Below are 13,302 nucleotides of genomic sequence, written 5' to 3'. Positions count from 1 at the left end.
TTGGGAGGCCAAGGTGTGTGGATCACCTGAGCTCAGGAGATCAAGACCAGCCTGAACAATATGGCAAAACCCGGTCTTGGTTTTAAAACAAAAATCTATATAGATAGATAGATAATTAATTATATAGATATCTCTCTATATTCATATATAAAGAGGTATATATGAATATATAAACTGTGTATAAGCATTGATCCACAAATTACACTTTTAAAATCTATTGTGATATATTTACCATAGTATCTATAATTATGTCATAATTTGCAATTATGAATTAGAAATAATTTTGAAAACCCACCAATAGAAGAATAAAACATGTTGTATGAATGTTTTCAAATATTTGCATCACTTCAAAATAATAAAGTAGAAAATTTGGCAAAGCATTTGTTGTTAAATGGAAAAAGAGAAAACGGCAAGTTGCAGAGGCAATGTGGCATGTAAATTGAGATTACAGGCTCTGGAATTGGATTAACTGAGCTTGAATACTGACTTTGTCACTCACTAGCTGTCTGAAGGAAACATCTCTTAAGTGCTTTGTGGATTGGTTTCTTCATTTGTAAAATTAGAGTCAAAATAGTACTTACCTCATACGGCCATTGTAAAGATTAAGTGAGTCATTATGTATAGGACAATTTTAACAGCACTAGATACAAAGTCAGCATTAAATTCATGCTTATTTATTTACACAGAGTGGACTGTTTTATGTTAAAATGCAAAAAAAAAAACCACGATGCAAAACTACTTATTTTATATGAACACAGATACGTATTGCAAACACGTAGAAAAATGCCTATGAACATTCATGCCACACTGATACCAGTGCGTAACTTTTAACATTAAAGACGAGGCTGCTTGAATTTTTTACATAGAAAATAAATTTCATACATTATTTTTGTGATTAAATTTTAAATACTTTGATACTTATGTTAAGTGTAATACTATGCAACTATGAAAAATAATAGTATAGATTATATTCATTGAGTTGTTGACAGGAAAAATGTTCATGTACATATATCATTAAGTGCAAACAAGCACATTGAAAGAGAGCATTAATTGTATCAATATGAATTCATTTGTATAAAATTTTGTGATTCTATTTGGGTATGTAATGATAATGTTAACAGTTAAACTGGTTAGTTGATTTTGACTTATATATATAATCATATACATATTCATATTTTTAGAATTGTTTTATAGTTAACATGTATTACATTTTTTTAAGAAAACACTATAATGTCAACTTTATTGTAAAATGAAGTAACAATGAGGCTAGCTAATCATGCAGCATCTTGCACTCAAAGCATATATGTTGAGAACACAGCCAAGTGCCATCTATGAATGGAATAAATTAGAAAGGTATGAAGGTACTTACCCACCACACACCTGGAGTGCAGAAAATTTGGAAGCATCCAAATCATTGCCACTTACTATTCGAGCCTTAAATGAAGAGTAAGAGAAAAACAAAACAAACAGGCTTTTAGCATACTACAGTTTTATGTACACGAAATCGGGACACAGGTCAGCTGCACTACACACGTAACACCTAGTATGACAGATGCTAAGCAGGGTCAGCTCCAAGTCAAAGCTACTGTGTTTTTATGAGTAGAGGTTTTGAAATTAGCTGTCAGCATTTAAACAAATGCACTGGCAGAGTCCCGGAAAATATGTCATATTCCAAGTACTATTTGCCCTTAAAACTTGATATGCACAGTGAAGATCATGAATCAGTCAGAAAGGTCATGATTAGCCAGACTTAAGAAAAGATGCTGTGTTTGACAGTAGCAGACCCCTAGGTTGGCAAGTATAGCTAAGGTAAGCGCAGCTGGCAAGGTGTGACCTCTCCATAAGTGCAACATATCAGAGGCACACTTAAAGGACAACCAAATAATGGAAAGCTGGGATAACATGCACATTTCAAAACTAAAACAGAGGAATCAAACAGATCTAATATGTCACAAACAAACATGTACAAAAGACAAGATTCCTCAGGAGGGAAGAATAAGTATGATTTAAAACCTTTTCATCCACAGAACTGCTATCTGAAAGAGAATCAGGAAAAGAAGGGATAAATGTTAGATGGAGTACTTTTCAAGAAATTGTTTAAACATATACATGAACAGAGTGTTAATATGTTACATTGTTTAAAATTATAAATAAACAGAGTTTCAAGGTTGAGCCCAAGGGTACAAGGATAGTTGGTTCTCACAATTTAAAGTGCAGAGAAATGTAATAGAATGCTTGAAAAGTATAAAAGTGATTACAGGATTTAATGAAAGACAATGTGTTATATTAAGAAAAGAACATAGTTGAAGAATCAGAAGTCCTGGGCTCCAGCTGAGGCTCTGCCACTTACTAGACACATTGGATAAGCTACCAAACTCTTTGGAGTCAAGAGCCTAGATCCAACTCTGAAATACAATCACAAATACTTTGACTAACTGCCTCGCAACATTGTTGATAGAATTAATTGAGATCAGTATTTGGGAAAGTAAACCTCAGATGACTCTGTAGATTAAAGTTGTTTTATTAAGAGTTTATATATTTATGGCTTCTCATATCATAGAGTTTACGAGCTAAAAGATTAAGTTGATTCCATCTTACACATAAGAAAACTGATGCCTAAAGAGGTTAAGTGACTTGATTAAGATCACAAAGCTAGTAAATGGCAGAAGAGGGACACAAATCCAGGGCTCCTGATCTCCCATCTGGTGCTCTTTACATCTAATGTTTCAGGTGAGCTGAACAGAACAGTGAAGGGTGCTTGGTCTACAGTTTTCAGATGCAATGCAAGATAAATCATAGGGCCAACATTTTCCAGGTCCAGCTACTCATGGACACAAGGAGATGGAGAATGGACTACTGCATCATCATTTTTTAAACACAGGTTTAAATTTGCCTGGTCATAGGATAGAGTCTACTACTACCTTACACAGTACTATTGCTCTGAAACTCATTAATTCATCTTTGCTTATTAGCATAAAACTGGAGAAACTTCTCTATGGATACAAGTTGGCAAAATGCTAGAGCTGGAGTGACACTGGAGTTTACTTAGTTCAAATCCCTTGTTTATATAAATGAGCAATGGAAAGATTAAAATTTGTCCAAGGTCATGTAGCTCAATGATGACCCTTACAGATGAAAATCTGAAATGCATTACTTCTCTTGACTCATTAAGTATAGGCTGCTTAACTATCATAAGTAAATATTTTGGTGCAGATTTTTCAGTATTTCAGGGTTGTATCTTCAGATGCAAAACAGGGTAAAATGTATTGTAAAGTAATAAAAGATAAATCTTATTTATGGCCATAATTATTTTAAAATACTATATAAAATAAATAAAATTTAGCATTACCGCAGAAGAATAATATACCATATTCAAGAAAATTGTACCCAAAGCATCATTTAAAATAATGATATGACTAATCTAATATGACATATCAATTGGCCAGAAAATATATATCTTAATTTTCATAGGGAGCAAAAGTCATCTGATAAAAAATCAAAACCTTCTAGTTGTTCAAAACCTCCTTAAAATGGGATTGTAATGGGTCTTCTTTAAGTGTAATATGTTAAAAAAGTATTACATATAGTATTACAGTCAGCAATTTATGTGTGAAATAGTAGGGCATTTCCATCACCATTAAAAGCAAACGAAACTGTCCAAAGCATAATTTTCACTTCTTTCTGAAAATTCTGGCCTATATATTAAAACAAACCAAAACAAACTATATAATTATTAGAAGTCAAAATAGAAAGTTATTTTTACAAGAATTATAATTTTATATCTAGTAATCAAAACATGCAAAATCACATGGAAAACTATTACAGCAAATAAAAGAGTCAACAGAGTAACTATATAGTCAACCCATAAGCAAAATAATAATGTTATTTCTTATACACTAGCAACTAGTTTGGAAAACAATGAAATAAGATCTGATTTCAAATCTGCAATATTTTGAATGAGTACTTTATATTCATTATCTCCTGTTGATATCTGTCTTCCATCTCAACCATCCCACTAAATACAGGTAATCTTAACAAGGTCATCAATTACTTTTCAGCTGTTAAATCTGGTAATACATCAGTTCTTTCAATGTTTCATTCATTCACTGAACACATATTTATGGCCAGTGAACCTTTTTTGTTCACTTTGACTGTTTTCTTGTCTCCCTGCTGTATTCTTCCCTGAAATCTTTCTAAAAAAGATAAAATTATGTCACTCTCCTTCTTAAAACCCACCAATGACACACAGTGCCCTCATGAAAGAACATAAAATCCATGTGAAATGCGATCTCATCACTCATTATATCTCATTCACATCATAAACTTCAGTCACAATTACATTCTTGAAGTTCCATTTCTGTGCCATGTTCTTTGAAATCTATGTGCCTTTGCATTGCTGTTTCCTCCCTGTGAAACAACTGTTCTCCATCCTCATGGAGCTGACTGCCTGTTATGTCCCAAACCTAGCTGAAGCACAACCTCTCTTTCTGGAAACTTGTGACACTTCTCCCTGCTGTCATCCTGGGTTCAGTATTGTGCACTGTGCATTCCTCTTTGCTAATCTTCATCCTTTGCCAGTTTCCTTATCTGCAATCCTTTCAGAATTTGAGCTCCTTGATGGTAGTCTGTTTTTTAATCTCTCTCTCTGTTTTTTTTACTTTTACCACATTCCTGAAATATAGGAGATGACTAATAACCATTTCTTAAATATTGGAATGGACAATTTTAATAAGCTACACCACTTCATGGAATAGCTAAAAATCTGAATAATGGAAAATATTATTTCATTTTTCTATATAGTGAAGATGAATTATAATCTAACAGATTTGTAGATTTCACAGTCAAAATCCTAATGGCAGATTGCTGTAACTTGAAATTTTACCAATTTTAAGTGTAACTGGATTAATAAACAAGTAAAAATATCTAAAATTTTGTAAAAGAAGCACTATGAGATGAATCTATAAAAATATTAATAATTTATAACAGCTAAAACAGTATGGTCCTGGCAAAATAATAGATTAAAAGTGAAACACAAAATATAATTAAGAAACCCTTATACTCAAGAATTTAATGACTAAGAAAACATTTTTTATTAAAGACAAAGAGAAGCACTAGTCAGTAAATGGTGCTTGGACAATAGGTTAAGTATCTATAATATTCATTTGTATCCTCATCTCATACATATGCCACCAAGTTCCACATACATTAAAGATTTAAATATAGAATAGTTAAAGGAAGAAAGACAAGTAAAAAGAGAAAGGAATATTTATTAAACCTATGGAAAGAGATTTTTAAATTTAGACTTACTAGATAATTGACAAATTAAAATGCAACAATGGTAAATATGCATACAAATTATCTATTTTACTAAAACTACAACTAAAGAGTACAAAATTAATGAAGATTAAAGATACTGATTTTAATGATATTAAAAATAATTCCCAAGGCTGTTGAGAATATTATTAATCAAACACTATCATGCATAGTTGATGAGCATGAAAATTGTAATAATACAAGTTAAAAAATAACTTTCAAAACATGTCTATCAATACACTGTTTTGACAGGAAAATTCCACTTTTGGAAACTGGTGCTAAGGAAATTATTTTTGTTATGGGTTGAATTGTGTCCTACCTCTGCCAATTTAAATGTTGAAGTCCTAACGTCTGGTACATCACAATGTGGCCTTGTTTAGAAATAGGACCACTGCAGACGGAACTAGTTAAAACATGCCATACTAGAGCAGGGTGGACTCATAATCCACTGTGATTGGTGTTCTTATAAAAAGGGGAAATTTGGGCCGGATGCGGTTGCTCACACCTGTAATCCCAGGACTTTGGGAGGCTGAGGCGGGCAGATCATGAGGTCAGGAGTCTGAGACCAGCCTGGCTGACACGGTGAAACCCCGTCTCTACTAAAAATACAAAAATTAGCTGGGCATGGTGGTGCGTGCTTGTAATCCCAGCTATTCGGGAGGCTGAGGCACAAGAATCGCTTGAACACAGGAGGCGGAGGTTGCAGTGAGTCGAGATCGCACCACTGCACTCCAGCCTGGCGACAAAGCGAGACTCCGTCTCAAAAAAAAAAAAAAAAAAAAAAAAATTAGGGGAAATTTGGAGATATATGCACACACAATAATATCAAGTAAAGATTAGTGATGCTTCCACAAGCCAAGCAATTCCCAGAAACTTGGGGAGAGGCCTCAGAAGATTCTCCCCTAGTTCCTTCAGAGGGAGTATGGCCCTGCCAACACCTTGATAGTGAACGTCCAGCCTCCAGAACTCAGAATAAATTTCGGCTACTCTAAGTCACTCAATTTTCGATATTATGTTATGGCAACCCCAGCAAACATACAATTTAAATACTAAAAAATATGTTAAGATTGGCACTGTTTCATTATTTACTACCAAAAAATTGCAAAAGCATACATGATTAAATATAGAACTATGGGTTGAAAATTATGTTCTATGACTTTGATGCAATAATCTGTGACCATTAAAATCAATGCATTTAGAGGCTAAATAAAAATATAGAAAATGTTCCTGATGTATAAAATAAAAATTAGGAAGTAACCTCATGTTTGAGGTTACTTCAGGTTATAAGGTGACTATGTAAAAACAAAAACAGTTATATATAGAAATAGACTTGAGAAAAACATCCCCATAATGTTATTAAACTTCAGTAATAGGTTAATATATTCATTCATATTCTCTTATATTTTCCAAGATTCTGTTATTTAATAATCATATTGTTGAAAATATTTTAAAATGACACAATATTCTACCCAACAGCAACAGAATATATATTCCTCTAGAGTGTACATTTTGGAAAAGTCTTCAAGCCACAAAACACATCTTAACAAATTTAAACATTGAAATCATATCAAGTGTCTTTTCTGACCACAATATTTGAAAGTAGAAATCAATAACAGGAAGAATTTTAGAACATCCACAAATATGTGGAAATAAAACAACACACTCCTGAAGAACCAATGGGTCAAAGGTGAAATTAATAAATATTTAGAGACAAACAAAAATAGAAACACAATATACCAAAACTTACAGGATGTAGCAAAAGCACTTCTAAGAGGGATACAGTGATAAATACCCACATTTAAAAAAAGATCTCAAATAAACAACCTAAATTTTTACTTCAAAGAACTAGATACAAAACCAAACAAACTAAGCCCAATGTCAGCAGAACTAAGGAAATAATAAAGATTACAGAAGAAATAAATGAAATAGAGACTACAATGACAATGGAAAAGATAGATGAAACTAAGAGGGTTTTTTTGAAAATATAAACAAAATTGTCAAACTCTTAGCTAGACTCACCAAGAAAATAAGGGAAATGGATCAAATAAATAAAATTATAAATGGAAGAGCAACATTACAACTGGTAGCACAAAACTACAAAGGATCTTAAGAGACCACTTTGAATAATTACATGCCATCAAATTGAATAACCTGGAAGAAATGGATAAATTACTAGAACATACAACCTACCAATACTGAATCATAAAGAAAGATAAAGTCTGAGCAGACCAATAATGAGTAACAACATGGAAGTAGTCATCAATTATCTCTCAACAAAGAAAAGCCCATTACAAGATAGCTTCATTGTGTGCCAAGATTTAACACCAGTATTTCTCAAACTCTTCAAAAAATTGAAGAGGAGATAATACTTACAGCTCACTTTATGGGCCAGCATTACTCACACCAAAGCCAGACAAGGATTCTACAAGAAAATTACAGGCCACTATTCCTGATGAACATAGATGCAAAAAAGTCTTCAACAAAATGCTAACAAACCAAATTCAATGGCACAGTAAAAGGATCATACACCATGATCAAATGGAATTTATCCCTAGGATGCAAGGATGTTTCAAGGAATGCAAATCAATAAATGGCATACACGGCTGAGTGCAGTGGCTCATGCCTGTAATCCACTTTGGCAGGCCCAAGTGGGCAGATCACTACGGCCCAGGAGTTCAAGACTAGCCTGGGCAAGACTAGCTGGGGCAAGACACTATCTCTACTAAAAATACAAAAATTAGCCAAGCATGGTGGTGTACACCTCTACTCCCAGCTACTGGGGAGGCTGAGATGGGAGGACTGATTGAGAATATTGAGGCTGCAGTGAGCCTAGATGGTACCACTGCACTCCTGGGTGACAGAGCAAGACCCTGTCTTAAAGTTAAAAAAAAAAAAGTGATACACAAAAATAAAAGAATGAAGGATGAAAATTATATAATGATCTGAATAGATGCAGAAAAAGCTCTTGACAAAATTCAACATCTTTTCATGATAAAAACTCTTAGCAAATCAGATATCGAGGGAATGCACCTGTACATAATAAAAGCCATACACAATAAGCCCATAGCTAACATCATACTCGACAGTGAAAAGCTGAAAGATTTTCCCCTAAGATCAGAAACAAGACAAGGGCTCCCACTCTCATCGTTTCTATCCAGCATAGTACTAGAAGTTCTCACTGGAGAAATAAGGCAAGAAAAAAATAAATAAAAGGCATCTAAATAAAAAAATGAAGAAGTAAATCGTTTCTGTTTACAGGTGACAATAACTCACATATGGAAAACCCTAGACTCCACCAAAAAACTTAAAACTGATAAACAAATCTAAAGTGTCATGATAAAAAAACTATACACTAATATAACAAACTATCTGAAAAAATATTAAAACAGTGGGCAACATGGCAAAACCAGTCTCTACAAACAATACAAAAAAAAAATTTGCAGGGCATGGTGGCACATGCCTATAGCCCCAGCTACTCAGGAGATTGATGTGGGAAGATCACCTGAGCCTGGGAGGTCAAGGCTGCAGTTAGCAGTGATTACCCCACTACACTCCAGCTTTGGTGACAGAGTGAGACTCCATCTTGAAAAAGAAATTTTTAAAAATTAAAATTTACTATATCAAAATGTTAAATACTTACATATAAATTTAACGAAGGAGGTGAAAGATCTGTACACTGGAAACTATAAGACTACACTGAAAACTATAAGACATCGATGAAATAATTGAAGAAAACATAAATAAATGGAAAGATGTTCAGTGTGCCTGCACTGGAAAAACTGATATCCTTAAAAAGCTTGCATTTTAAGTGACCTACAGATTCAAAGGAATCTCTACCAAAATTCCCATGGCTTTTTCAAAGGCTTACAGAGTCAAAGGAATCTCTACCAGAATTCCAATGGCTTTTTTACAGAAATAGAAAAAAAATTCTAAAACTTATATGGAATCATAAAAAAGCCCTGAATAGCCAAAGCAATCTTTAAAGAAAAGAACGAAGCTGGGGCATGATTTGTCCCGATTTCAAGCTATATTACAAGGTTATAGTAATTGAAACAATATGGTACCAGCATAAAAATACACACATAGACTGATGGAACAGAAGAGAGAGCTCAGAAATAAAACCACAGACATATGGCAAACTAATATTTGATGAAGGTGCCAAGAATACACAATGGGGAAAGGACTGTCTCTTCAATAAATGGTATTGGAAAAATGAGATATCCACATGTAAAAGAATACAATTGGATCCTTATTTTATACCACATAAAAATTAACTTGGAATGGATTCTTAAGTGTAGGACCTGAACCCATAAAGCTCCAAGATAAAAGTTTAAGGAAAATTTACCATTGGCAACGTATTGGCCGGGATAGCAATAATTTCCTTGGATATGACACTGGAAATGCAGGCAACAAAATAAAACATAAACAGGTTCATCAAATTAACATGCTTTTGCACAGCAAAGGAAACAATCGGCAAAATGAAAAGGAAACCGTGAAATGGGAGAAAATATTTGCAAACTATATGTCTGATAAAGGGTCAATATCCAAAATATATAACTCCATAGCAAAATCACAAACTCTTTGATTAATAAATTGGCAAGGGGTCTAAAACAGGTATTTTTTTCAAAAAAGACATTAATGGCTAATACACATTTAAAAAGGTGCTCAATATCATTCATCAGCAGAGAAATACAAATCAAAACCAAAATGAGATATCACCTCACACCTGTTAGAATGGTTATAATTAAAACACAAGAGATAATGTGTTGGTAATGGCATGCACAAAAAGGAACTCTTGTACATTGATGACAGAAACATAAATTGGTACAGCCATTAAGTAAAGCAGTATGGAGGTTCCTCAAAAACATAAAACTAGAACTACTATAATAATCCAGCAATCTCACTTATAGGTATAAATTTAAATAAAATGAGATTAGCATGTTGAAGAGATACCTGCACTGCCATATTCACTGCAGAATTATTCACTATAGCCAAGGTATAAAAACAACCTATTTTGGTGAAACCCCGTCTCTACTAAAAATACAAAAAAAAAATTAGCCAGGCGTGGTGGCTGGCGCCTGTAGTCTCAGCTACTCGGGAGGCTAAGGCAGGAGAATGGCGTGAACCCTGGGGGCGGAGCTTGCAGTGAGCTGAGATCGCGCCACTGCACTCCAGTCTGGGAGACAGCGAGACAGCGAGACTCCGAGACCCCGTCTCAAAACAAAAAACAAAAAACAAAAAACCTATTTGTCAGCAGATGAAGACAATGTTATGTGTATATATGTGTATACACACACAAACGCACACACACACACACACAGATGATTATTTAGCCATTAAAAAGAAAAAACTCCTGCCATTCATGACAAGATTGATTAATCTAGAGGACATATACTAGGTGAAATAAGGCAGAAAAAGAAAAGAGAAATATTATTTCACTTATAAGTAAAATCTCACAAAAAAAAAAACTGAACTCATAAAAGTGGAGAGTAGAACAGTAGTTGCCAGGGCTGGGGGTGGGGGAAATAGTTTTTGGTCAAAGTGTACAAACTTTCAGTTATAAGATGAATAAATTCTGGGGATCTAATACACACCATGACAACTATAGCCAATAATACTACATTGTTTTCTCGAAATGTGTTAATATAGTACATAAGTGTCCTCACCACACACACACACACACACACACACGTAACTCAGTATAGTGATGGATGTATTAGTTGCTTTTATTGTGGTAATCATTTCACAATGTATATGAATATCAAATCATTATATTTTAACACCTTGAAATAGCTAATTTATTTGTCAACTATGCCTTAATAAAGCTGGGGAAAGAATAAAATGTAAAATGTATACAATAGGCAAAAATCTTGGCTATTATTCAAGGGGCAGTGTAATATATATATAAAACATGTACAGATATGCAGATAATCATATATGTATATACAGATATTGTGTATATAGATAGATATAGTAAATACACACACATATACACACAGTCTTTGTTCGCTGATAAATTGCCTTTTATTCTACATACAGTTGTTCTGCTTAGTAAAATTGTGGTAAAATGTCTGTAATTACATGCTGGGTACTCCCTATAATGCTGCTCCCAATGTTCCTAGTCTTAGAAGGCACATATCATCTCACAACAGGTTCATTTTGCAGCTCAGCAATTTAATGTCGTTAATGCGAGACCACAGTACATCCATCTACTTTATAGTGAAACTTCCCCTATAAATGGGATTAAAGTAAGTTTGTAGTGGTTATACAATTTTAATGTCTTCAAATTCCACAAACAATTTAAAATAAAAAAACTGATAAAATATTTACTCGGCGAACAGCACTATTCTATTCAACCATGCTGCATGGTGACCTATAAAACCAAAATTCTCAGTATATAGAAATACCAATAATATATGTGTGTCTCCTGTGTATTAGATCCATCAGAGGTTCTTGTGTGAGCATCCCCAAGAAGTAAATCTGAACGTAATCTACGGAAACATGTCATCTCCCTAACCCTCAGTTTTCCTTCATATATAAGTAAAATAAGAATATTTCACCAGCATCTATCTAAATCTTCTAGCTCTAAATTCTATGATATCTTTTGGTATGTGTAGTGAATTTTCACTAAAACAAGGAATGTTTATTCACCAGTTACCACGAAAAATAAATATTCATAATACCTAATGCCTACATTTAAGATTAAGATGGATAGATATAGTCAATTTACAATCTTCTAAGATAAAAGTAAAAATGTTGTATTTTCTCCCTCAATGTTTTACCTCTATTATAACACACTTTTTGAAGGAAATTTGAATAGGAGAGATCTCCAAGTTTGTATGTAAATTGAGTTCCACCCTATCTAGTTTAGGAATTCCCTTAAACATCTTTGCTCTGAGGTTCTTCAGTGATAACACAGTATAAATTTCCCACTGGTGATAATTCATTATCTTCTTTGGAAACAGTTTGCTCTATTTGTCACCATATTAAAAGAGATACGACTTTGATACATGTGTAGTATGCCTGAAAGTCATCACATGGGAGCCAAAAACAGTGCAAAGAAAAATCATTAATGAAATCAGAGGGTTGCTGAGCTGTCATTAGCCTTTACAGAGTACCTACTGTATGCTAGATAAGTCTGCAAATAACTTTATCTTCCCTTTTATTGAATTCCTTAAACTGTCTTGTGAATTATTAATAAGGAGCACATGCTTCCAGGTCAGAGGAAGTACCTGTGGATGGTGTATGTTTCAGACATACTTCTGGATGCAACTGGATGAGTGCTGGGAGATTAATGCTGATTTAACTCATAACTCACATACCTTTGATCACTCATTTACAGCCTCAACAGTAATCTAAAAAAACTGAATTGGTCAGGCACGGTGGCTCATGCCTGTGATCCCAGCACTTTGGGAGGCCGAGGCAGGCAGATCACGAGGTCAGGAGATCGAGACCATCCTGGCTAACATGGTGAAACCCCATCTCTACTAAAAATACAAAAAATTAGCCAGGTGTGGTGGCAGCCGCCTGTAGTCCCAGCTACTCAGGAGGCTGAGGGAGGAGAACGGCATAAGTAAACCTGGGAGGCGGAGCTTGCAGTGAGCCTAGATTGTGCCACTGCACTCCAGCCTGGGTGACAGAGCAAGACGCTGTCAAAAAAAAAAAAGAAAAAGAAAAAAACTGAATTGCAATGACAGTTCAGTATCATAAGGATGTTAAAGATATGAACAAAGTGATATGGAAGCACAGAGAAGAGATCCTCTAACTCTTCAGCCATGGAGAACATTGGGTTTGGGAAGGACTCATTCGGGAGAGGAGTGGGTTTTGTTGATGTGTGAAGGTATTCCTGGCAGAGTAAAAAGGATTTCAAAAGGCATTGAAGCTTGAAAGAGCATAGAGTGTTAGGGACTGAGACATGGGAGTGCGACAGTAAACAATTGCAAGAAATGAAAGGAGAGTGAATAAGGTTCTAACACAAAAGTCCTTACA

The 13,302-nt window shown here is 34.3% G+C and overlaps 1 protein-coding gene across 7 annotated transcripts in view; it reads right to left on the bottom strand.

Annotated features, from left to right (window-relative positions):
• The window catches only part of UNC13C (unc-13 homolog C), a 795,839-nt gene that overhangs the window by 488,387 nt on the left and 294,150 nt on the right, over window positions 1–13,302 (bottom strand). For 6 of the 7 annotated variants that reach the window (XM_047432538.1, XM_017022220.2, XM_017022221.2 and 3 more), the window contains 2 exons: window positions 2,014–2,036; window positions 1,370–1,434 (listed from right to left, as the gene is read on the bottom strand). The exons of the other annotated variant lie outside the window; for it this stretch is intronic. In XM_047432538.1, the coding sequence (XP_047288494.1) occupies window positions 1,370–1,434; window positions 2,014–2,036 (88 nt within the window). The remainder of the gene's footprint in view (window positions 1–1,369; window positions 1,435–2,013; window positions 2,037–13,302) is intronic. 7 annotated transcript variants of the gene reach the window in all.

The sequence above is a fragment of the Homo sapiens genome, chromosome 15 (genome assembly GCF_000001405.40).
Source record: "Homo sapiens chromosome 15, GRCh38.p14 Primary Assembly".
NCBI classification, from domain to species: Eukaryota; Metazoa; Chordata; class Mammalia; order Primates; family Hominidae; genus Homo; species Homo sapiens.
This window is presented reverse-complemented; position numbering and strand designations above follow the sequence as displayed.